The sequence below is a fragment of the Homo sapiens genome, chromosome 20 (assembly GCF_000001405.40).
Source record: "Homo sapiens chromosome 20, GRCh38.p14 Primary Assembly".
NCBI lineage: Eukaryota > Metazoa > Chordata > Mammalia > Primates > Hominidae > Homo > Homo sapiens.
This window is the reverse complement of record NC_000020.11, coordinates 59,977,475-60,003,592: the sequence shown is the minus strand read 5'-3', so window position 1 is coordinate 60,003,592 and position 26,118 is coordinate 59,977,475. Positions and strand designations below refer to the sequence as shown.

The 26,118-nt window shown below is 42.2% G+C and overlaps 1 protein-coding gene across 5 annotated transcripts in view, besides 1 other annotated feature; it reads right to left on the bottom strand.

Annotated features, from left to right (window-relative positions):
• Positions 1-26,118, bottom strand: part of CDH26 (cadherin 26) — a 77,512-nt gene that overhangs the window by 32,342 nt on the left and 19,052 nt on the right. Inside the window, exons 5-16 of one of the 5 annotated variants that reach the window (NR_145482.2) lie at positions 20,523-20,670; positions 18,788-18,954; positions 18,464-18,592; positions 15,955-16,140; positions 14,430-14,689; positions 11,073-11,215; positions 9,104-9,343; positions 7,539-7,760; positions 6,832-6,962; positions 3,930-4,007; positions 2,003-2,250; positions 727-780 (exon numbers count right to left, since the gene is read on the bottom strand). Coding sequence is in view for 4 of the 5 variants with exons in the window: in NM_177980.4 (NP_817089.1) it covers positions 727-780; positions 2,182-2,250; positions 3,930-4,007; positions 6,832-6,962; positions 7,539-7,760; positions 9,104-9,343; positions 11,073-11,215; positions 14,430-14,689; positions 15,955-16,140; positions 18,464-18,592; positions 18,788-18,954; positions 20,523-20,670 (1,827 nt within the window). In the remaining variant the exon portion in view is untranslated. Of the gene's footprint in view, positions 1-726; positions 781-2,002; positions 2,251-3,929; positions 4,008-6,831; positions 6,963-7,004; positions 7,220-7,538; positions 7,761-9,103; positions 9,344-11,072; positions 11,216-14,429; positions 14,690-15,954; positions 16,141-17,418; positions 17,598-18,463; positions 18,593-18,787; positions 18,955-20,522; positions 20,671-26,118 lie in introns of those variants that run through there. The other 4 variants (NM_177980.4, XM_011528970.4, NM_021810.6 and 1 more) reach the window with 4 other exon arrangements.
• Positions 8,829-9,361: an enhancer, noted in NCBI's record as "NANOG-H3K27ac hESC enhancer chr20:58569287-58569819 (GRCh37/hg19 assembly coordinates)". NCBI's record gives its function as "activates a minimal SCP1, AML or CMV promoter by ChIP-STARR-seq in naive H9 embryonic stem cells {active_cell/tissue: H9 hESC(naive)}" and the evidence as "EXISTENCE:reporter gene assay evidence [ECO:0000049][PMID:30033119]".

Genomic DNA, 26,118 nt, shown 5'->3' with positions numbered 1-26,118 from the left:
TGAAGCTTTTGGTCCCATGTTTCATTAATCAAAGAGAATCCTAACATTGTAAACTGAGCTATTCAAAAACCATTAAGATTTGAAACTGCTTGTTGGTATATATCAAAATTTTCTTGATACTTTAAAAACCAGTTTATAATAATGCGAGGCAATGAATTAGGTGTTAAGTTAACATAATTTTGCAAACTATATCCACAACATTCAACTTCCTTCTGTTTACATCAGAATCATTATTTTTATTGGCTATTTTGGTAATAGGTATATGTCATTAATGTCAATGCATACAAAATTAGTACTTAGATGTTTTATTTACAATGGAGTTATTTGTAGGATCTCATTTGAAAAGAAGAATTCTGGTGCAAAACATATTTAGAAAAAAAAATTGACTAGATGATGTCTAAGACCCCCTTAGCTCAAAATTTCTATAGGTCTGTGACAAAGCACAGCAGAAAACTCAGCCTATGACTGAGGTCTTAGCAACTCAACAGCAAAAGAAATTTGCCAGGGACTGAAAAGCTCTTATGCCCTCGAGTCACGGGATAAATGTGCCTTAACTACTTCCAACCTCTCTTCACGTTCGCTTCTCCTTCAGTTTGCTTGGATGTTGGGCATATTTTTTTTTATCACCTCTTTCCTTCCAAATTTCCAATTTTCAGGGATTTGCACAGCTTTTAGGCAGAACAATAAGGTAAATTTGTTCACGGTAACACCTACATCTATACTTACAGGAGTAGAGTGTATGTTTTTCACACTTCTTGGCTCAAAGGGCTTGCCATAACCCTTAAAGAAAGATGAAATATTTACTGATTTCAAATAAATTACCAAAGGATGCAAATACATAACTAGAAATTCTTGCAGTCATATTGCCTTTCATTTTTGTACTAAAGGTATAGTAATTCTAAAGAGTGTAGATATTCATAGCAGAAATTCATGAACAAGTTTCACAGTTGCTTTGTGAAGAAGGAACATGAGAATATTAGATTTGCAAGCTCTATCTTGGGTCCATTAACACCCAGTAAGATTTCCTTTTGCCATGGCCATGCCCTGAATACAAACAAATGACACACATCCACTCCTAGGACCCAGGCCTAGCGGCACAACTCTCAGGGCTCAGTGCAAGATGAAAGTTGGGGGCCCTTTGTTCAAAAATTAAGAATTTCAAGATGGTGACAGTAGAATATTAAACCAAGCAGAGGTTCTTTAGAGTGGGAGGCCCTGTGCCATGGTGGGTGTTCCATGTCCATGCAGCTGGCCCGAACAGGACCAGAAGGATCAGCTGCAAGGACATGGAACCCAACATTCATCAATGCGGGAGCCCTTCAGTGATGGATTTGTGGCATCATCTTTGTGCAAAGAAGAACATCATGTTTTCATCTTTGCTCAGATACTGCCTGTGCAAAGATATGAAATTATAGAGATCTTGAATTTATTTTAGAAGCTTTCCCTCATAAAAATTGGATATGATTCTATGGCTCTTTAGACCCTGAATACCTCTTTTAATTCTATATCAGAAAAGTACATTTTGGTTAAATAATGGCTAGTTAAACTGGTGAGGTCCAAATAAGGTCTGTGACTGAGAACTGTACTCACAGTGTTGTGCCAAAGCCCATTTTCTGATTTGATCATGGAGTAGGGTTACATAAGATGGTATATTTGGGGGACCCCCAAGAACTCTCCAAACTATTTTTGCAACTTCTATTTAGTCTAAAATTATTTCAGAAAAAGTCATTTCACAAAGCAATAGTCCTGGAATTTGTATGTAGAGTACAAGAAGACACAACACAGATGGGAAGTCAGGCCTCCCTTTCGCTGGAAGCATGCAGTCACTGGGCTGGAATTTAGTCAGGGCCAAAGTGCTGTGCTTTTAACTTTATAGATGATCTCTGGTGCCCTTAGAAGGACATGAGAAAATGTATCTATTTGTGGATGCTCTAAAAAGTGTCATATTTGATCAGGATTATCAAACAACTCTAAAAACAGCAGCCATCACCAATAATAATACCTAGTTCTATAGATGGAAATAGAGTCGGGTGGAAAAAGCCCAGCTTCTCAGATTTTCATTGACTATGTGCCTTTTTCTGACAGTATCACCGAATCTTCTACAACGGCCCTCTCTCAGGGGGACCAACTGTTAGTCACTAGTGAGATGGCCGTAGCAGGGAGCAACCTTCTGGAACTCACCCAGCTCCCCAGAGCACAGCGTGCTTGGGCTGACTGACTCGCTGCAGATGGAGGCACTTCCTCGAGATCCTAGAGGGAAAATGCTGATTTACTCAAAAGAGAATGGATTTCTCTCCAGCTGGAAACAAAGTGGGCATGCGTGACCTCTCACCACTTCCCCTTGCTCATATATTCATAGGCAAACACAAATTAACACGATGAGAGGGAGGGCGCGGTGGGAGGAAAAGGAAAATGAAGAGAGGCAGGGAATGCAGGGATAAAAGGGCAGGCACAATGGAACCGCATGGCAGGAGGAGGTTTGAACATGAAGACGCTAATGTTCTTTCCATGACACAGACACCTGAAAACTGCATAGACACGCAGATGACATCTAGAAGGTGACACTCACAGGTGAAACTGTTTAGATTCAGGGATGGGATTGTGGGCATTTTCTGCCTTGGGTTTCTGTTATTTTAATAGTGACGCTTCAATAATGAAGTTATATTTCAAAGAAAATAAAGCAGGCAATGGACCTTGACAATGGTCTCATTGACGCTATTTCACACTATCCAGCAGATTTTAAAGTATCAGGTTACCCCATAAATCATAAGTGACGGCTTCACTTAGAGAAAGTGTGTGAATGGCAGTTTATTTAAGCAGTCACCAGAGATGTACTTACTACAATATTTGCAGGACACTGAAGGGAACCCAGAGATACACCAAAACCTAGAAGGTGGAGGCTTTGGTTCCCTCCCCTGTAAAATAGGGAAGCAAGATTGCCCCTACCACACACACGCCCCTATGGGTTCTGGTGAAAATTCAATAAGATGAGGCATGCAAAGTGCATAGTGTGCCCCTCAGGGCAACACCTAGACCTCTAGAAGTTTGCAGACTGGCTCAGAGGAAGGAAAGAGAAGGCTCTCGCCAGCCCAGGAGGCAAGTTTGTAGGAACTAGAAAAGGGCAGCCCTTCCCCCAGGAGCACAGACTAGTGGTCAGAATGCACGGCGAACCCAGCCCTCCTCACTGCCCTGGCCAGGCACATGCTCATTTATGGCAATCCTGGGTCAACTTTGTTTTCAAAGTAGGGGACACCTACTAGTTATAGAATGGAAGATTTAGCTACTTGGGAAACAATTTTAAATAACACTGATTTGCACGGTGAGAAAATTATTCCCTTTCTAATTCTGTTTCCACACCCTTATGACATCCAGGAGGAAGTGTCACTCTGGTGCTAGCCTGGCTTCCACGCTCTGCCTTCCTTGCAGAGGGGCCCCGGGCCTTTGGCAGTGCCATCGTCCACCCAGTCATTGTGCCCTACTTCTTTCATGGCTATCTTCACACTTGCCTGCTCTTTATACAAGTAAAACTGTTTTCATTTACAGTTGAAATATAAAATTTCCTACTTAAATAAATGTACTTAATGTGGACACAAGCCCATTTTAAGAAAAAAGTGTCTTAAGAAATACACTAGTCCAAGTGCCATATGCATATGGCAAAAAATCACCATATGGCACTGGACACAGTGATATTTGGAAGCACAGGGTCATCTGACACCGCAGCAAAGTAGAAAGAACTTGGCCACTGAAAGACAAGGGTGTTTTAGGCTAAGGGAACCATGGGGCTTTGCAAGTAGGGGCTGGGGTTGCTGACTTGAAGAAGAACCTCCCTGGATGTGGCACTGGGAGGAGCATCCCAGGTGTTCCTTGTCAGGGAAACCACCAGGAAAGTCACTTCTCTGAAATCCAGAAGCAAGTAAGGGGCATGTTACCTTAACTCCCTGCGTGGGTCCTGCTGCAGCTGTGCAGATGAGCAGAGCCGGCCTCTGGCCTTCAACATCTGACCATGTCTGTAGAACACAGAGAAAGAAATATGACAAGGGCTGAAATCACAGATAGCAGAAATAAAAACAGAAGGAAAGGAATGACATTTTCTCCAAAACACATTGTATCTATGCCATCACAGAAGAAGTCCAGACTGTAAAAAATACACCTCTCCTGTAAATCTGGATGACTTATGTGGGAAAAGAATGTTATTTCTGTTTGCCTTTTGTAATTGCTCGCTGGGAGGTTGAGCTTCTCATGGTTCAGGGTTCCATGTAAACTGATGGTAAAAGGCTCATTTCAGGAGCTCTCAGAATTGAAAAGCTTGTCTTTTCCTAGGGCTCATGGTGATGGCTCTTGGGGTCACCAGCATTGCATGGTATTCTGTGCATTGTCCCATTCATTTATCACTCAACATATATGTTCACTGAGGGACTCAGGTTGATGGGTGCTGGATTTCTGTTGGCCAAGGGCTCATTAGCTTCCCCACATGCAGGGAAGGCATCTATGCATTTCTGTAGATCATCACCATCAGATGGCATCCCTATAGTTTAGTAGTAGAATGTGACAACATGTGTGCAGCTAGTGACGATATCTTGCATGGAGTTTTCCCAAGAGCACAGAATGTTCCTGGTGAGTGGATGTGCAAGGTAAGCTGGTATATTCATGTAAGATGGACAGAGGGATAAGTGCACCTAGAGATGGCCTTATTTACCAAGGTTACAGAGATATAATCAGTAATTACTGCTAATAATGCTAATATTGGCGGCCACCCTTTATTGCATGACTCTTAGTGCTGAAAATTTTACATGTGTTATTTGATTAGAGTCCAAAAAACTTAAGAGACAGAAGACTATCAAGCTCACTTTATATATGAAAGTCAGATTCAGTTAGATTATGTAACTGATCAATCACAGATTTGGAATCTACACCCAGGTCTGTTGAATTCCACTTCTCAGAGCCCTAAGATACTGAAGCAGGAATGGAGATGTGCCTTTAGCTGTGAATGGGAAACAAGAGAAAGATTTGTTGGTACAAGAAGAGAACAGAGCCCCTTGCCCAGCATGAGGTTCTCTTGTCCCACTGGCATAGCTGGTCTTTGACCAGTGCCACCATGTCATTAAGCCCCCTCCAACCCTCCTGGTCTTAGCATCACAAGGGCCAAGGTTCCTTTCCACCCACACTGCTTCCATAGCTGCTTCCTCTTTTCCAAGAGACAATCACAAAGCTGCTGGGAAAGAAGGGTAACCAGGGCATCCCCACTGTCCCTTCCACCTCAGCTACAACCTGAACTCAGGTTGTGTGACATTCCTGCCAGTCTCCTCCAAGCTCAGCAGCTTTCACTCTCTCCCTCCAAGGAGGAGACTGAGGCACAGCTCCTGGGACTGGGAACCATTTCTGTTTCCCTTCATGGTTGAGCCTCTGAGCCACTGGAACTGTCCAAGGCAAGAAATTCTACTGTTACACAAAGACTGCTGTTTGTCCAGATGGTTTTCTTCTTAAAATTACACAACAAATCAAGTTTACTGCTGCTCTCACATTTGGGATGCGGAGATTCCTTCCAGGGGACTTCACAATCTGGAGAGTTTGGATCTTGCTCCTGTTTCCCCACCCAGGAAGGGCTCACAGGAGGGTGCACAGGCACATACCTGCCAGAGGAGCCTAAGTGGCTGCTCCCTTCCCTCCTTCATGCCGCAGGGAAGACAAAATTCAAAGAACCCTGGGAGCCTTGGGCGAGCACCAGCTTCTTCAATCAAATATTTTTGAGAAACTCTCTAATTACAGGAGCATCATATCAAGTTCATTGGAATATCTTTTCCCTAAATGTCTGACTTCATTCAATAAGTCTCTCCCTTCCAGGAAAAAAACATTGGTGGAGGTGTAAGATGGGGTGACCGAATCCTCTGTGTGTGTTTCCTTTTGACATTTCTTTTGTGTTCATTTTCTAAATCAACCACTTAATTCTAGATGAAGACAAACAGGAGAGCTCACAATGCTTTCATCTCTTTGTCTGTCTAACCCCAGCCCAGGGTTGCTGCAAGGATGACTAAGATAATGTAGGGCCCATTTCAGAAGCAGCCAGTTTGAAAAACCAGTGGCCATTGGCCAATTACTTTATATGGCTCTGCCTTGTGTTAGGTGCCTTCATAGGCATCCTCTCTGATCCACAACCTATCTAAGAATTTGACTTTATCATCCCAGTTCACAGATGAGGATGTAGGGTTAAATGATGAAGCTAATGAGATGCAAAAGCAGAAACAGAGCCTAGGCCTTGTACCTCCAAGGGCAGTGAGCTTTCTGGTTGGCCTTTGCCGGACAATGGTAGAAGAGCAGGTTCTGCCATGATCTACTGAAAGCCATGGCCAAGAAGCCAGCTCAGACTCATTTAACTAGTGAGCCTAACACAATCCCATTTAGGGAACGTCTACTTAATAAAAAACACTATTTCCCTAAGCACAGTTTCTCAAACTCAGCACTTAGGAAACTGGGGCAGATAATTCTCTGTGGTAGAGGCTGTCTTGTGCGTTGTAGGCTGTTTAGCAGCATCTCTGACCTCAACGCACTAGATGCCAGTAGCACTCCTAACTGTGACCATCAAAACTGTCTCCAGGCATTGATGAATATCTCCTATGGGGCAAAATTGCTCATGGTTGAGAACCATTGATCTAAAAGAATAAATTCATTTATCTGAGTTAGATAGTATTTGCAAGAATTTTTTCCCACTTGCTACTGAAACACGGGTAAGAGTGAAGAATTAAGAGGTGGCACAATGGGGGGAAAAATACATGCTATATGTCTGTGTATTAGTGAATTCCTTGCCATAAGACACAAAGCATGACATTCCACTACCTGGGCTGAAGTGCCTTTGCTCTCCGCATTATACATGACCAGTGTTTGGTGGCCTTCATCATTGGATACAGAGCATCCATGCCTCTTAGGTTCAAGCACAAAATAGCATCGCAACAGAAAAAGCAGAGCCACTGTTATAAGACAAAGGGGAAAAACAGATTAGACAAGCTCACCCATATCAGAGGTTTCATGAGGATCTTGTTCTGTTCATGTATAACTCAGTCATGAACTGGCAAGGCCAAATTGCGTCTTAGTCATCTGTGTAGCTATAAAGTTCAGCACAGTTCCAGGGTACCAGTAGATGCTACATAACTGTTTGTTGAATTAATCAATAATACTATCTGGCCAGTAATATTGTATTGTTTCTTGGAAAAGCTGCTTTCTTATTAGCCTTGCCAAGTCCAGGAGCCTGAATATCTGTACATTGCTGTCTCCATGGTTATTACAAACAAAGGGCCACTCCTTGACTATATTTACCAGTGGATTCCATTGTGAGTAGAAGCTGCTTTTGCTGGCCAGGGATCTTGCCTGGCCAGCATGGCAACCTCTGATCTACATCTAGGAGCCTGAGTACACCCAGAAGTCATTCTCAAAGCCATTCCACCAATCCTGCCACCGCTGTCCCCTACCCCAGCAAGCCCCTTACCCCTGGCCTATTGCCTGGGGAGAGGAGCCACAGTCCCAGGACACCCCTACAGACCACTGACCTGCCAGAGCCACAAATGCTGCACAGACAGGGAACAGGGCCCCCACATGAAGCCCCACTTCTGCATCTGCAAGCTCCACACATGTGAGCCCACTGGCACAGGGGCAGATCCTTACATGGACAGTTTGCTTCTGGGAAAGTCCCTGTTTGTCTCCAATGAAGAGTGGCACCAAGTAATTACCACGTGGCAGGCTTCTCAAGGTTAAAAGTTCAACTGATTGACCTGCAAAGGGAAAAAGAACATGGCATGCATTGACTCACTCATCTGCTCATCTGCTCAACACACGCTTACTGAACGCCCTGCACGGGCCAAGCTCTGTATGAAAGTAAGCCAACTGCAGAGTTAGAGGGAGGGGTCCTCAAGGGTACCCTCACTTCTGACATCAACTGCAAGTTCACGGATTCCTAAGACCACCCTCAGGTTCAACAATTCTCTAGAAAGACTCACAGAACACACTGAAAGTTGTTACAGTGATGGTGCCGTTTTTTACAGGGAAAAGATACAGACGTAAATCACACAAGGAAAGAGGCACCTAGGGCAGAGTCCAGAAAAGCACCAGTAGCAGAGCTTCTCATCATCCACTCCCGAGAAGCCAGGTCAGCATCGATGAGGGACAGCACACATGGGATGCTGCAGTCAGGGACGTTCACCTGAGCCTCAGGCTCCAGTGTCCTCCTGGGGCTTGGTCAGGCAACCTGGTGGGCCTCCCAGGTGGGCGGCCTCAGTCTCCAGCCTCTCTGGTAATAGACTGATACTATGTGACCAGAAGTCCCCAGTGTAAATCACATTGCCCCTATCCGGCTCAGCCCAAGACACCCCAGGTAAAGAGACACTGGTGTCAGACATGATACCCCAATAGAGATCACCCAGACCCCAAGGACAAAGACCAGACCTCTCTTTGGGCAAGGCGAAGTGCTTTACCACACACTCCAGGTCTGAGAACTACAAACTTGAGCACACAGTTTCAGCTGAAACCGTGCCACAGTCTACAGACGCCACGGCTAGAGGCACAGAAGAGAGTGTTGACAGTGGATGCCAGTTGCTTTTAACCTGCTCAGCATGTTCATCTTCTGGTAACAGTGCCCCAGTGTTTCCTTAGGGAAGCCCACACTTCCTGAATTCTCAGTATGAATCAGGAGAGGGTGAGCCCAGATCCCAACAAGGTCCAGGTGTGGGCTGGGAACCAGCCAATCAGCACATCCGCCCTCCCAAGTCCCACCCACAGTGATTGACAGGGCAGCTGACCCAGGCCAAACAGTGACGTCAATCCTGGAGCTTCCCTGGAAACACCCTTCTTGCCAGATGCAAGAATATGTCTCAGGGACTCCCAGCAGCCTCCTACCCCCTGATGAGGAGAGTTTCCTAAAAAAGAAGGAACCTAGAGAAAGGCAGACCATGTGTGGGAAGGATATCCAGGGATATCCTTTGAGCACCTAGAGCCAGCTCTGCCAGAACGCAGACCTCTCCGGTTTTTTAAGCTAATAAAGTCCTTTTTTGCCTAAATCTGTTTGAATTGGATATCTGGCATTTTCCACTCTTTGCCCGTAACCAATACAAAAACTCACCCCAATTTCTCCCCAACTTCCATGTGTCCTCCGCATTTCCCCAGGTATTGTCCAATTCAAATGTAAATGGGTCAGAGAACGGCTCCAGGTCCGGATCCTCTGCCTCGATGTGGAGGGGCTCATGCACAGCAGACTCACAGACCTCCATGTAGCGGGAACGTGGCCGGAGAGTCGGGACGTTGTCATTGATGTCAGACAGGAAGAGCATTAGGGTCCCTGTAGCAGTCTGCGGTGGGAAGCCTTGTATGGGGAGGAAGTTTCAGGAGTTGTTTATCTCGTGCACACACAGCTCTGGAGAATGAGCACTCTCCGTCTCTCAGAAAAAAAATATTCCTGAAATACTGGAACTGTTTCCCTTTCAACGTCATAAGCTCTCCTGGCATGCACGTGATCTGTTTTCCTGCTTTTATGAGCATTCAGAATATTTGGGTAAGCTAATAAAGCACTTACCACCTCAAATCACTTGTAGAACAAGGTAGAATGTGGCTTCATTAAAAAAACAAAAGGTCAATCAATGGTGCCAGGCATCAAGGATGGGTGGGGTGGAGGAAAATGGGTGTGACTAAAGAAGGGCACCATGGGGGTCCCCAAGGGGAGGCAAATGCGCTGCGTCTCCGCGTTGATGTACTGGTTACAAGGTTACACTGTAGTCCTGCAAGGTGTTGCCCCTGGGGAAAACTGGCAAAGGATACTCAGGATCCACTAGATTATTTCTTAAAACTGCAAGTGAATCTACAATTATCTAAAACGACTTTTTCTAATTCAAAAAAGTGGCAATCATCACTTCATAACTGCAAATATATGGAGCCAACCTAAATGCCCATCGACCAATGAGTGGATAAAGAAAATGTGGCATATGTATACTATGGAATACTACTCAGCCATAAAAAAGAATGAAATCATGTTTTTTTGCAGACACTTGAATAGAGCTGGAGGCCATTCTTCTAAGTGAATAACTCAGGAATAGAAAATCAAATACTGTATGTTCTCACTTATAAGTGGGAGCTAAGCTATGGATACACAAAGGCATGAGTGATATCATGAACTCTGGAGACCCAGAAGCAGGGGAGGAGGGAGCCAAGGGCTAAGAAATCTCACATTGGATACAAGGTACTCTACTCAGGTGACCAGTGCACTAAAATCTTAGACTTCACCACTGCATAATTCATCTACGTAACCAAAAACCACTTGTACCCCAAAAGCTTTTGAAATACAAAAAGCAAAAAATAAAGGAAAAAAAAAGTACCAATCATAAAATCATCCATAACAGAATGACGGAACCCTGAAACACTGGCCCCATTTTTTCTCCTCCCTTAATGCTGATTAGGAACACGTGTTTCATATCTCCATTGCCCCCCGCCAACATTCCACTAGTTAATTACAGAATGGAACGTATAGTGATATATCACTTGGAGCTTGGGTTTTAGTTCACAGACTTTCTTAAATACAATTTTAAAGTTATTTGAACATTTTTATTTCTTCAACTCTGCTTTGGTGTGTTTAAAGTTTCAGCCTTAGGAGAGTGTAGAGAAAAATGCTGAAACAGGCTTATAAAACCACCCATTCTGGTTTATGACAAATGTGTCCCTTACAGTCCCATTTATCTGAGCTCGTATGCCATCCCAAGCACAGGGAAGCTGTGCTAAATATTTATCACACATCATTGGCTTTGACAAAGAGCTAAAGAGTTAGCTCATGAACAGATGAAAAAGATGCTGGGTTTGATTGCAGCCTCCTTGCTGGTTTAATTGTCTCTTCTGAATGAATACTGCCCTCTTTCGATGGTATTGGTCCCTTGTTTACCATTTTAAGAATTATTACCAAAAATAATCACCAGCATGGATGCAGAGTGATAACAAGGTTTATTTTATCCTTTTCTCTGCTGTGCTGAAAGACGCTCACCAGGGTTATTTTCCCGCAGGAAGCAAGAATGAGCATTTTATTTTTCCAATTTTGGGTAAACACTCACCATCATCAACAGCGTGAATGATGATTACATAAAAACTGTTATTTACATGAGGGGATTCTCGGTCAATTGGCTCCACGGTGATGACCACTCCGGAGTTTTTGTCGACGCTGACCCAATTTGCTGGGTCATGAACCAGTTCATATCTTGTAGAAGGAAAACGGACAGCAATTTTTAAAATTAAAAACTTACATTAAAAGATAAAAAAGTTGCATAAAAAAACAAAATATGTCATAGAAACACTATTTCTACCACAAGTAATTTGAGAAATTCTAAGAGCAATTAAACTACGAGAGTGTTTAATTCACGAAAGGAATGGAAGCACAGGGAGGACAGCCTAAAGACTCTCCTAGGTCTGTGGAATTGACATTCACCAGAAGACCAAGCGTCCCCCTCCTTGTTGGACTGAACATAGTTTTGTCTGCCTTGGGGAGATGATTCATCCTGGAAAGGAACCCATCTTCAGTGGCCTGTAGATGATGTTAGCTTAGTGTGAAAAACCAACCTGCCCTTGCAACAGAAACCTAGGACTTTACCCCTGGTGTGTTCCCTTTGCAGCAGAGCCCTGGCAGTTCACAGTTGGGTAACCCTATTCCTCAAAGTGGTCTTCTACATCCCCCTCACCTATGTGAACCTGACACCACTGTAAGGGGTGGGCCACGCCAAGCCCTCCAGCATTCCTGAGAGCTGTCAGCCATTGGATTGCATCCTTTGCAACCTTGCCAGGTTGCCACCCCAGCTACCTGTTGAGGGCACCGCAGCAGGAACCTCCTGGACTCAGGCAAACAACAACAACAACAAAAAGTGCAGGTCCCAGAAAGGTGCGGAGAGGGGCAGTTTCTCCTTATGCTTTTCCTTCATCTTCTGGGCAAATGTTTTTCAAAGGGTCAGCAAGGATCCCTCTCTCATGTTGCGTGGGTCACAGTTTTTAAAGGGATTGAAGCTTTTTGTGCACTGCTTCACCTCTTAGGGAAAGTTCCAGAAGTTCCTTAGAAGCACTGTGATTTTGCAATGTTTACAAACGAGGGGAAGAAACTCAGAGTTCCTCTGTGGATTATCTCAGGCCAAAAGGCAGCTCCCTCAGCTAATGCAGATGAAGCAGAACTAGAGGAAACCAAAGCTGCCCCCAACCCAGATCATGCCTCCACCCTGTCACAAAAGACACTCATCCTGCCTCCTGGAAAAAGCCATATTGAGGCTAAAATGATGGACTGTTAGTTCTTGATTTCAGCACAGTCCAAACATTTCCTGAGACCTAAGTATGAGCCAACCATCCTCAAGAGACAGGAAGACAGCAATGAATTAGGAAAGGCTCCTGTTGGTGGTGCCTAAAGGGATCCCCAGCCAGCATCATGGGCACCCTTGGGAGCTTCTTAGAAATGCAAATCTCAGTCCTGACCCCAGACCTCTCAATCAAATTCTATGGGTGGGTTGGAAACCAGCCTGGCCAACATGGCAAAACCCCGTCTCTACTAAAATTACAAAAATTAGCCAGACGTGGCAGCATGTGCCTGTAGTCCCAGCTACTCAGGAGGCTGAGGCAGGAGAATCACAAGAACCTGGGAGGTGGAGGTTGCAGTGAGTCAAGATTATGCCACTGCACTCCAGCGTGGGTGAAAGAGAGAGACTCCATCTCAAAAAAAAGAAAAAAAAAAAAGAAAAGAAATTGTAGGGGTGGGGCCCAGCAATCTGCATTTTAACAAGTTCCCCCAGAGACTGATACACACTATAGTTTGACAGCTACTTCTTAAGAGCCTTGCTAACTCAAGGTGCACCACTGTGCACCAGAAGGGGTCTGTGAGCTGTTGGTTGGCTGCTCACAATGAGATAACTGCAAAAATGAAGAGCAAGTGTTGAGAAGCCCTTAGAGTCATCAGCATTGTCATGTCCACCTAGTGCATGAAAATTTTTCTAGTAATTCCATTTCATTATATTTTGCAAACTTATCACTCCATAATGAATTGTAAATTTTTAAAAAATCTAGCCATTCCCAACAGATAAGTTGAGAAGTGTTGCTGTAAGGAGAGGAATCTCACACTGAAGTGTGGACCAAGGCCAAGTAAGCACGAGAAATGAGTGAAGCTGGTGGAATGGGGTCTGGGGCCAACTGCTGAGCTCAGCCTGGAGAGAGAAGGGGCATGACTCATGACCCCTTTCTGTCCCCATGATCATGGTCTCATGGAACATAGACCCAAAAATGCCAATTTCTTCCATTTCTTCAAGAACATCAAGAGATTCAGGCCATATGCCACCCAAGTGCCCATCGATGGATGAGTGGGTAAACAAAAATGTGTCAATACCACATATGCATATTCAGCATCAGAAGGAAGGACATTCTGATACATGCTAAACGTGCATGAACTTTGAGGACATTATGCAAAGTGAAATAAGCCAGTCACCTAAAGACAAATGTTGTATGATTCTGCTTTGATGACCTGGAGTCATCAAACTCAGAGAGACAAAAAGTCAAATGGTGGAGGCCAGGAGCTGGAGAAGGGGGAATGAGTGGTTAATGGAGACAGAGTTTCTGTTTTGCCAGATGAAAAGAGTTCTGGAGATGGAGGGAGGTGATGGTGCACAACGATGTGAATGCACTTAATGCCACTGACCCGTACCCTTACAAATGGATAAAATGGTAAATTTTATGTATATTTTACCACAATTTACAAAAAAAACCCTCACTTTTCTTGCCCAGAAGCAAGAGAGGTACTGGTTTATAACTTCTGGTACAGAGGGGGAGACAGAAAAATGTAACGGATTATTCTAACACAAAGGAAAGAATACAAAAGGAACACATGGAAGATGCAAAGGAAAACCAACAAGTGAGTTCTTCTGCTGGGGTCAGAAAAACCTATGGATAGAAGACGACATTTAACTCAGGTCAGTGGTCATGCACTGTGGCTTCTTGTATTTTCATCACGGAGACTGAGGCAACCTCGTGAACACGTCCAAGGAGCTGGTTTTCTTTTCTTTTTTTTTTTTTTTTTTTGAGACGGAGTCTCGCTCTGTCGCCCAGGCCGGACTGCGGACTGCAGTGGCGCAATCTCGGCTCACTGCAAGCTCCGCTTCCCGGGTTCACGCCATTCTCCTGCCTCAGCCTCCCGAGTAGCTGGGACTACAGGCGCCCGCCACCGCGCCCGGCTAATTTTTTGTATTTTTAGTAGAGACGGGGTTTCACCTTGTTAGCCAGGATGGTCTCGATCTCTTGACCTCATGATCCACCCGCCTCGGCCTCCCAAAGCGCTGGGATTACAGGCGTGAGCCACCGCGCCCGGCCGAGCTGGTTTTCTAACAGGAGCCCTCTTGGTTATGTGGCTATTTCCACTTAAACAACCGCCCTTCTTGGCCCTCTCTTCTCACCTTATCTGGCTGTCTGGATCCATGGCATTAAAAGTTCCCAACAGGGTCCCAGGCCTGGCGCCCTCCTCTTTATTGACAATGAAGCTCTGGGGGTGAAAGGCTGGTGGGTCGTTGGCGTCTGTCACCTGCACACTCACAGTGGCGCTGGCTGCTGCCTTCCTTGGCGGCTGAAGCTTTCCTCTCTCACAGAAGACGAGCCTCTCCTCATTCTCCACGACAATGATGAGGCTTTGCGCTGGGCGAGTCTCATAATCCAAAGGCTGGAACCCCAGAGAGAGGATTTCATTAGCACCTGCTGCTCCTCTGGCCAGAGGAAGCCCAGCGCCGAGTCATCATTGCAAACTCAGAGCTTGTGGCTTTTGCACTTCATTTATTATTTACGTTGTCTTTGATAATGATCAAAAGACAGTCTACAGCTCATTTTCAAATCATTTATGGAGTTCTTTTCTCTTTTATTTTTTCCCTCCTCCTCTGCTGGTTGAAAAGAGCCACCATCCTTCAGAGGGTAATGAAAAATGCAACAAAAACCATAGCCTAATGAAACATTAATGAGACAACCATGCAGCAAAAAAATCAGGGGAACTTAGGGAAATATAGATATTAATGATCATAGTTATTCAGGGTACAAAGTGGTCAGTTGACTTAAAAGGATTGAAAGCCTGGGAATATTTTGAAAATTCAACCCCAGGCATCTGGTGCAGCGTCTACAGAGCCTTGCTATTCATAGCACGGTCCGCAGGCCATCAGCATCCCCTGGGAGCTGGTCAAATGGGCAGGCGAATCTTGGGCTCTGTGCCAGACCTGCTGACTCAGGTCTGCCTTGTCGCCAGGTGACTCACCTGCCCTGCACTGCACTAGAGGCCCTGGTCACTCTAGGGCTGGTTGTGAGCAATGAAGACTAGAGGCACTGGGGTCAGACTGCCCCAGTGGGATCCTCCACTCCACCCCTCAAGCTGTGTGGCTTTGTGTAAAGGACCTAACCCCTCTGGGCTTTGGTTTCCTAATCAGTAAATGAGATGGTAATATTAATACTTTCTTCCAGGCCAGCTTCTCCATTAGGCACAGTGCCAGGGGCTCTCCATACTCTTGGAGCCACACAGATGCACTCCCATTTGTTTTAAACTTTAAAAGTCTTAAACATTGAAAACTCAGATGAAAAGAAAGAACTTTTAGTGTTGAAGAAAATGTTTTCATTTTTTAATCACATCTGAAAAAGAATAATCATTTTAAGGCCTATGTAAATCTATTACATTTTGCCTACAACAACAAAAAATTAAATGGTGAAGTATTTAGTCATATCAAAATAAGTTTTATTATTGATATCATTTTGGTAGGAGGAGTCCTCAGCCCACACACAGAAGTGGCACTGAGACCCTGCCTTCCTTGCCTGGTGACGTGTGGTACGTAATGGGCTCAGCACCCAGCATCCACGGACGTTAGCTCCCTGGTTCATTGTGAGTGATCCTACAGAAGAGGCCTCAGCGTCTGCCACTAACTGGTTGGTATGTCACCGGTATGGTGTTACCTTGATAACATTTAATATCCCTTCGTTGGTCTCAGGGTCAGTCGAAATGTCAAAATGCCCCTCTTCATTGCCATGCAATATGTTGAATTTTGCTCTCCAAGCTGATGTAAATGGAGAATCTCGATCTTGAACCAGGAGACGCAACACGCCCTGGCTGGCTCGGCCTTCAGGAATCTGAACCTTATACTGAAAGAAGCAATCATCATGTCCATGTCATGGAAACAAAAACACAATTGAAAAGGAAAGCAGAGAGGAAGGAGGGAGAGAAGCAGAGAGAGAGCAAGAGAGAGAAGGAGAAAGAATGTTGCTCCTCATCACAACACCCTGGATATTCCTCATGCTGCTAAACCTGCCCTAAGGGATTTGCAACTCCGTCTGTTACAGCAGAAGGTGCATCCGTTGGAATATCTGCCCCCTCCTACCTGTGACTCGCTAAATAATTCTTAAAGTACTCTTAAATCCAACTCAATGCCCTATTTTTTCTAAGAATTTTAAAAATAATAATACACAATCCTAGTTTATGCTCTCTAAAAATCCTAGCTCTTCCCCTAAAATAGGACACTTGTGGTTATTCAGATTAAGGTGATCATTTTTCTAACACATGTAGATCTTCAAAATAGCTTGTTATTCAATACTTTTGGAGGCAATGTTTCTAGACAAGCACTTCAAAATAAGAGGGTATATTTTTTTTCCAGCCATATTTTTGAGAGCATTGCTTTTTACCAAGCCAGGAAAAGATTTTGAAACAAGGTTCAAGCATAATATTATTTTGTAGTTATTATATACTTCTGGTGAGGTGCTTTGGTTTGCAAACATTTCACTTTGGTTTATACAGGTTTTTTTTCTAATTAAACGACACCTTTTAAAAATAATTGTTTGCATCATTTATTCAACAACAGCTTCTATGTGCCACATTCCATTTCAGATGCCATGAACAAGACAGGCAAAAATTCCGTCCTTGATGGAGCTGAGAGCTGAGTGTGTGTGTGTGTGTGTGTGTGTGTGTGTGTGTGTGTGTGTGTAGGGGGATTTATAAAATAAATAAAACTGATTAAGTAGAACACTACTAAGCAGAAGAAAGCACAAAGGAGCTACAGTGTGTCCCAGGAAAGAAGAGGGAGGGTTTTAACTCAGTAGTCAAGAAAGAGAGTCAGGAGAAAGGAAATATGGTGGATATTTACTTTTTTAAAAATACATATAGAATAGTAAAAAATAAAATATTGGAAATAGATCTTGAGTGATTCTTATTTTATCTCTTAGCCATCTCACATGCCTTAGGTGGGGCACCCATCCCAAACCATCTTACACAGCGGTTTTCAATGCTTTCTTAAAGGCTGGGAGTCTTGCAGCCTGGGAAATCCCATGTGGACCCTGACATACAATGTTTTTAAATGATCACTGCAGTTACTTCTGTACTTGGATAAGGTAAGGTATGGAAGGCGAGGCCAAAGCCTACCTGCTCACCTTCCCTCTAGAATCCTGAACACGGTGTGAAAACCTCAGGTGCAGACTTCTCACCCAAGGGTGATTCTTCTCCCTGAGGGACATTTGGCAATGTCTGGTGACACTTTTGGTTGTCACAGCTGAGGGGTGCTACTGACATCTACTGGGCGGAGGCCAGGGATGCTGGTGAATATCCCACAGCACACAGAGTAGCCCCCACTCCAAATAATCATCTGGCCCAGTGTCAGTTGGGCTGAGCATAGGAACCCCTGACTCCAAGTAAACAGGAATTCCCTGTCTTCCCCTAGACCTCAGTTTTCCCATCTGTAAAACAGAAATCGTGTTGTAGTTTCAATAATCAAAAATGAAAAAAATGCATGTAAAAGTTCTTAGCATAGTTTCTGGCATACAGCAGTCAAAAATGTAAGCTCATGTGACCATTATGAACTGCTTCTATGTCAATATGATTTGGCTTCTTGATTCTAGCTTAAGTCACTTTGGAGAATTGCACATATCTTGGGTGACTGCGCGATATAGATTGGAGATCTGTCCCCGCCCAAATCTCATGCTGAAATGTGATCCCCAGTGTTGGAGGTGGGGCCTGGTGGGAAGTGTTTGGATCGTGGGGCAGATCCCTCATAAATAGCTCCGGCCATCCCCTTGGTGATAAGGAAGCTCTGGCCCTGAGTTCACATGAGATCTGGTCATTTAAAAGTGTGTGGCCCCTCTTACCTCTCTCGTTCCTCATTCTTCCCCACCCACCTCCCGTGTCTTGCATGCTCTTGTTGTCACCGAGTGACATGCCTGCTCCCCCCGTCCTTCCGCCATGATCATAGGCGTCCTGAGGCCTCCCTAGAAGCTGAGCCGGTGCCAGCCCCAGGCTTCCTGTAAAGCCTGCAGAACCATGAGCCAATTAAACCTCTTTTCTTTATAAATTACCCAGTCTGAGGTATTTCTTCACAGCAATATGATAACAGCCTAACACCCTCTCTGAGAAAAACTGAGCCTAGGACCCAAGGGCTACTTGTTTTGGGGCTTAGACGTTGGGGCGGCCCAGGAGCCTCACGTTCTCCTGGGTAAATGCAGGCCTGTGGTTGTTGCCTTCTTGCACATCCACGTGAACGGTGGTCGTGGATGACAGTGACGGTTCTCCACAGTCCCTGGCTCTGATTAGCAGTGTAAACTGAGGAGCGGTCTATGTGGGAGGAAAAGGAAAGTTAAGCCCCTCAAATACAGGAAAGGAAAATATTAATAAAGAAATATTCTGTTTAGGAATTTCAATAGCAAATCTAGCCACAGAGGGTTCCCCACTACAAATGTAGAATCTAAGCCTGGGGCTCAAGGATGGGCCACACATTTCATTTAAAAAAAATAATAAAATCCACATAACCTCATAATCTAAGCAGCCAGAGAGTCGTATTTCTCCACTAAGGCGATCAACCCGGAAACCACTTTCTTTCAGTAATGGTGTTTGAGAAATGAGGAAGTAAAGGACTTGAGAATTTGGAGTGTTTTCTTCATCCAAATCGACTGCTAACATCTGAAAAATAGGTTGCCCTAGAAAGAATTTTTAAAAATTGTTACTATCAGATAAAGGTAGCCTATCAAACCAGTAAGAGGATGAATTATTTGCTAAATGGCATTGGGGCATATACCAAAATGAGTGGAATGTTTAAATATAAAATAAACTATGGACATACTAGAAAAGATAAGGATGAATATTTAATTAGTTATAAGATCAAGAACTTTCTAATCATGACTGCCAATGCAGAAGACTTACATTGGTGGATCAGATTACACTTTTAATTTCTGGCAAAAAACTGTGGACAAAATTTAAAAGAAAATGATAAAGCAGGAAAATATATCTGAAACATACATGGCAGGCAGATATTCTTAATATAGACTGCAGAGGTTAAAATCAAGAAAAATGACAAACACACTAACAGAAAAATGAAGAAAAGAAAGGAAAAAGCAACTGATAGAACATGGAAATGGTGAAGAAACATAGCAAAATGTTCAAGCACATAGTTATCAAAGACCAACAACACACCAAGCATCTTCGTGGACTGGGGGCAGGTCAGCAAATGAGGACCCCTACATTGTATGCACAGTGCAAACCAGCAAGTCTACATCTCTGAATTCATGCTAAGTAAATAATGCTTGATTGGGACACAGATTTAGCTTAAATTTTATCATTGAAATATATTTTATGAAAATAACAGAAAGTGGCAAAAAAACATAAATGTTCAACCATAGGAGATCGGTCAAATACTTTAAAGCACATCCATAAAATATTACACAACAGGGTATTTTAGAAAAATATCAGGTTACAAACAGTAAAATTGCACCTTTAGAGAGGAAATTTATAAATATGCACCTGTGAAAAAGCACACCAAATATGTGTAAATATTTACCATATACGCATATACAATGTGTACTATGATAAAGATGAAAAAATGTATGTATATACAAATATGCATTTGTAATTATACATAAAAATGTGTGAATGCATACACATATATAATTTTAACACACAGCATGTGTATACACACACACAGAAAATGCACACAAAAATGCTGAAAGAATACAAACTGAAACACTAATGGTTGTTATCTCTCATGGGTAACATTAAAGATGCTTTCTTTTTCAGTCTTTTCATTTCTTGGAATTTTTTGGAGAGATGATTACACAAAAAAATGATTTTTGTTATTAAAATAAATCCACATTCTAGTAAGAGTCGGTTGGGTTTAAGAATGCACAGTATCTGTAACTCGGAGGCTATAGATGTGATCGTGTTGCCATTTTACAGACAAAAAATGTGCAGAGATATGCAGAAGCTCATCACCCAGCTCTTTCTCCCTCACTGCATGTGGCTTTATTTTTAGAATGGCATTTACATATCAACCCTTCCCACTGATGTAATTCCCACATCATTTTATTGCCGATACAAAATGAGGCTTACGGACCTCAAAGCATTTCGCTCAGATCCAAGGCCTGCGATCTTTGAGATGTGAACAGTAAAAACTCTCCCTGAAGATGACTAGGATCAAGCTCCTCATCAATATTAATGAAAAGGAACAGAGCAGAGACAGAAGGAAGCCCGGCAGCCCCCCAGCCGCACACACCTGCAGATTGGTTTTCTTGCACAGTGATGTTAAATTCCTTCTCTGGAAACTGGGGTGCATGATCATTCACATCACTGATCCTAATGTTGAAAATCAAGGATGTATCCACAATTTTTCCTGTTGAGCGCTCCACAACATCAAAATAAACCTAGGAAGCAGAGAGCTGTAAAAATCCTGCAGAACCATTTACTCGATGACACTCTAATAAAATAACTGTTATCCTAATTATGTGTTACGTCTGTCTCCTCCTCTAGACTGAGAGTTCCGGAGGGCAGGAATCAGACTGCCCTCATTTACCAAGTACCCCAGAGAGCAAGAACAGTACTGGCACAGATTAGGTGCTCAGCAAATGTGTAGAACAAGCCAATGCTCTGGCTTGGAAAAAAATGATCAGTTATTATTAGGTTCAAATCTCAGTCTCTCCACTGGGCAAACACATGCAAGTTGCTAGTGAGCCTCCGTTTCTACAACCTATCAGTGTTGTCATGAGAAATAAATATATTAACTGAATATTACTGAAACATCACAGAGAGCAGACAGTTAAAGATTTTTGGGAAAGTGAACATTTATAGTAACTAGCACAGCTACTGACATGCTATATTTTTAAATGGCCACTGCAGTTACTTCTGTACTTGGATAAGAAAAGTCAGTCCACGTCAAATATGCATGTGTGAAATCTTTCACTTCAAATGGTCTCAAATCAATTGTTTAAGCTTCCACCTTAAGAAATTTTAAAAAGACATCATAATAAATCCAAACAAACAGAAAGCAATAGTAAAGGTAAGAGCACATATCAATAAAATGGAAAACAACAAAACAATAGAGAAAGTAACCAACGTAATCGCATGTAACCAAAAGCGATTCTTTGAAATGATCAATAAAATGAATAAACCTCTAGGGGGACTGATGAGGGAAAATAAGGAAGCGGAGAGAATTATCAATAACGAGAATGAAAGAAAGGATATCACTAGAGATTCTACATATATTAGAAGAAGAATAAGGACTAGTATGACCAAGTTTATGCCAATGAATTCAGCAACTTAAATGAAATGGACCAAATTCTTAATAAAGAAAAACTACGAAAACTTTCTCAAGAAGAAACAGAAAACCTGTATAGTCCTATATATTTTTTTAAAGTGAAATTTATAGTTTAAAATCTTTCAAGAAATAAAAACAAAAAACTCCAGGCCCAGATGACTTCAATGATAAATTCTAGCAAAATATGAAAGAAGAAAGACCAATTCAACAGTCTCTTCCAAAAAATATAAAAGGTAGAAAAACTTCTCAACTGATTATATGAGACTAATATTACCATAATACAAAGTCAAATTTTTGTAAATTACAGGGAAAACTACAGAACAATATCTCTCATGAATCTAGAGTTAAAAGTTCTCAACAAAATACTAACAAATAGTACCCAGAAATATATTAAAAGGATAGTACATTATGACCAAATGAGGTTTATCCTGAGAATTTTAGGCTGATTCAACTTTCGAAAATCAATTTCAGCAATGTCACAAGATATAAAGTTAATCTATAAAAATCAGCTATATTTCTATAAACCAGCAATGCATAATTAGAAATAAAAATTTTAAAACAGCTCCATTTACAAATCTAAAATACGTATAGGATCTATTTAGTGAAAATGTTAAAACACTGATGAAAGAAATCAAAGAAGACCTAATTGAATGAAAAGATATACTGTGTTTACAGACTGAAAGACTCAGTATTGCCAAGATGACAGTTCTTTCCAAATTGACCTATAAAGTCAGCATGATCCCAATCAAAAGACTAGCAGAATATTTTAGAGATATCAACAAGCTGATCTGAAAATTATATAGAAAGGCAAAGAAATTTGAATACGCAAAATCATTTTGAAAAAGAAACACAAAGTTAGAGGACTCACACTATATAATTTCAAGATTTATTATAAAAATACAGTAATCCAGAGAGTATAGTATTGATGAAAAGATAAATATATACATCACTGAAACAGAATAGAGAGTTTAGAAATAGGCCCACACAAGTATGGTTGATTGATTTTTGAGAATAATACAAAGGCTAGCCTTTTCAACACATGATTCTGAAACAATTAGATGTTCATAAGCAAAAAAAAATAAACCTGGGTCTATATCTCACACTTTAGACAAAAATTAATTCAAAATGGATCACAGACATACATGTAAAACATAAAACTATAAAACTTTTAGTAAAAAAAGGAGAAAATCTTGATGACAATGTGTTAGATAACACCACCAAAAACATGATCCAGAAGAGAAAATATTGATGAATTGGATTTTATCAAAATGTAATAACTTTTGCTCTGTAAGAAATGCTGTTAAAAGAATGAAAAGACAAAGGTAAGAATGAGAAGACAAAAATGAAAAGACAATTGCCTGAGAGAAAATACTTCCATTTCATATGCTGACAAAGGATTTGTATTCAAAACTCAATAAGAAAACAAACAATATATGGCCGGGTGTGGTGGCTCATGCCTGTAATCCCAGCACTTTGGGAGGCCTAGCCGGGTGGATTACCTGAGGTCAGGAGTTTAAGACCAGCCTGGCCAACATGGCAAAACCCAGTGTCTACTAAAAAAAATACAAAAATTAGCCAGGCATGGTGGCAGGCAACTGTAATCCCAGCTACTCGGGAGGCTGAGGCAGGAGAATTGCTTGCACCCAGAAGGTGGAGGTTGCAGTGAACTGAGATTGCGCCATTGCACTCCAGCCTGGGAGACAAGAAAGAAACTCCATCTCAAAAAAAAAAAGACAAAAACAATACAATTTTAAAATGGGCAAAGGGTTTGAACAGACACCTCTCCAAAAAAAGAGATACAGATAGTAAATAAGTCATCATTTGTCACTAGGGAAATCCACATTAAAACTGCAATGAGATATCGCTACACACCTTTTAGAACAGCTAAACTGAAAAAACCTGACAATACTAAGTGCAGCCAAAGATGCAGAGCAATCAGAATTCTTATACGTTTCTAATGAGAATGCAAAATTGTTCAGTTATTCTGAGAAATCGTTTGGGAATTGCTTATCGAGTTAAACATACACTTATGTGATCCAACTAAGCCACTCCTAGGTATCTACCTACAATAAATGAAAACTGACTTTCACATAAAAGCCATATGTGGGCTGGGTATGGTTGCTCACACCTGTAATCCCAGCACTTTGGGAGGCTGAGGCAGGTGGATCACGTGAGGTCAGGAGTTCATGACCAGCCTGGCCAACATGGTGAAACCCCGACTCTACTAAAAATATAAAAATTAGCCAGGTGTGGTGGTGGGTGCCTGTAATCCCAGCTGCTCAGGAGACTAAGGCAGGAGAATCGCTTGAACCCAGGAGGCCAAGATTGCAATAAGCTGAGATCGCACCATTGCTCTCCAGCCTGGGCGACAACAGTGAAACTCTATCTAAAAAAAAAAAAAAAAAAAAAAAAAAAAAAAAAAAAAAAAAAAGTGCATAGCAGCTTTATCTCACCACAATTGAAAAGAGTCCAAGCACCCTTTAGTTTTATAAAGTGAGAAGCAAGATACTACTCAGCGATAAAACAGAACAAACTCGGCTGGGCACGGCGGCTCACGCCTGTAATCCCAGCACTTTGGTAGGCCCAGGTGGGCAGATCACAAGGCCAGGAGGTCAAGGCCATTCTGACCAACATGGTGAAACCCTATCTCTACTAAAACACAAAAAATTAGCCTTGCATGGTGGCAGGCGCCTGTAGTCCCAGGTACTCAGTAGACTGAGGCAGGAGAATTGCTTGAACCTGGGAGATGGAGGTTGCAGTGAGCAAAGATTGCACCACTGCATTCCAGCCTGGCGACAGAACAAGACTCCGTCTCAAAAAAAAAAAAAAAAAAATAGAAGAAGAAGAAACTCTTGATGCACACAATGACATCGATGAATATAAGATTCATTATGTGAGGTGAAAAAAATCTAGACTTAAAAAGCCATGTATTGTGTGACTCCGTCTCTATGATGTTCTAAACAAGGTAAATGTATTGGGAGGGAGAAGAAATGAGTGGTTTCCAGGGGTTAAGGGTTGAAGGAGGGTTTGTCAAAACTCTTAGAACTATACATCAAGAGATACAAATTTTACCGTACACAAGTTTTGAAAATAAATTTTTAAAAGTAAAATACATATAAATTTGGAAGGAATAAAGGCAGTTGAGGGTTCTCAGGTCATTATATTGTCAAAGAAGTTATTAAAAACTTCATATCAAATCTAATAAGTGAAGAGTGAATGTTATATTTTCTCTGTAATTATTTTCTCCTTCTGTGGAATTAGACCAGAGAGAAAAGTTGTGGGTGGGGTGAGATTTTTCATATATTGTACAAAATTTTGTAAGAAGCCCTATTAATTTTATATGTAAAAAGTAAATATAAGATCGGGCGTGGTGGCTCACACCTGTAATCCCAGCACTTTGGGAGGCCGAGGTGGGGGGACCACCTGAGGTCAGGAGTTCAAGACCAGCCTGGCCAACGTAGTGAAACCCCACCTTTACAAAAAGGCAAAAATTAGCCAGGCATGATGGTGGGTGCCTGTAATCCCACTACTCGGGAGGCTGAGGTGGAAGAATCACTTGAACCCAGGAGGCAGAGGTTGCAGTGAGCCGAGATCACCCCATTGCACTCCAGCCTGGGTGACAGAGCAAGACTTCATCTCAAAAAAAAAAAAAAAGTAAGTATAAATAATAGGAACTCTCATTTATTGCTGGGGAGAATGCAAAATGGTGCAGCCACTTTGGGGGACAGTTTGGCAGTTTCTTACAAAACTAAATGTACTCTTGCTACACAATCCAACTATCAGCCTTCCAAATGTGTTGAATATGTATGTGCACCTGACAACCTGCACACACATGTTTATAGCTTTATTCATGATTGTCAAACTCTGGAAGCTACCAAGATGTTTCTCAGTAGGTGAATAGGTAAATAAGCTGTGTCCATCCACACAATAGAATATTATACAATGAAAAAAAGGCATGGAGGAACTTTGAATGGATATTGCCAAGTGAAAGAAGCCAGTCTGAAAAGGCTACATAGTGTATGATTCCAACTATATAACCTTCTGGAAAAGGCAAAAGTGGGGAGACAGTAAAAAGACCAGTGGTTGCCAGGGGTTCTGGGGGTAGGGAGGGGTGAATGGGCAGAGCCCAGAGAGTTTTAGAGCAGTGAAACTATTCTATACGACACTGTCATGGTGGACACATTTGTCGAAACCCATAAAACGTAAGATGCCAAGAGTGAAGCCTAATGTAAACTATGGGTTTTGGTTAATAGTCATGTAAAATACTGGCTCAACAATTATAGCAAATGTAGCACATACATTATAGCAAATGCACACACTACTGCAAAATGTTCATAATAGGGGAATCTGAAGGGAGGGGGTAGGGGGAGGGGAGGATGGGAACTGTGCTTTCTGTTCTGTGCTTCTGTCAATCTAAAACTGCTCTAAAAAATAAAGTCCATTAATTTGAAAAAATGATGTCCCTACTTACAAAATAAATATATATATTAATAAAATATAATAAATATGAACTATAAGAAAATATACATGTGTATTTTAAATAAATATACATATTTTT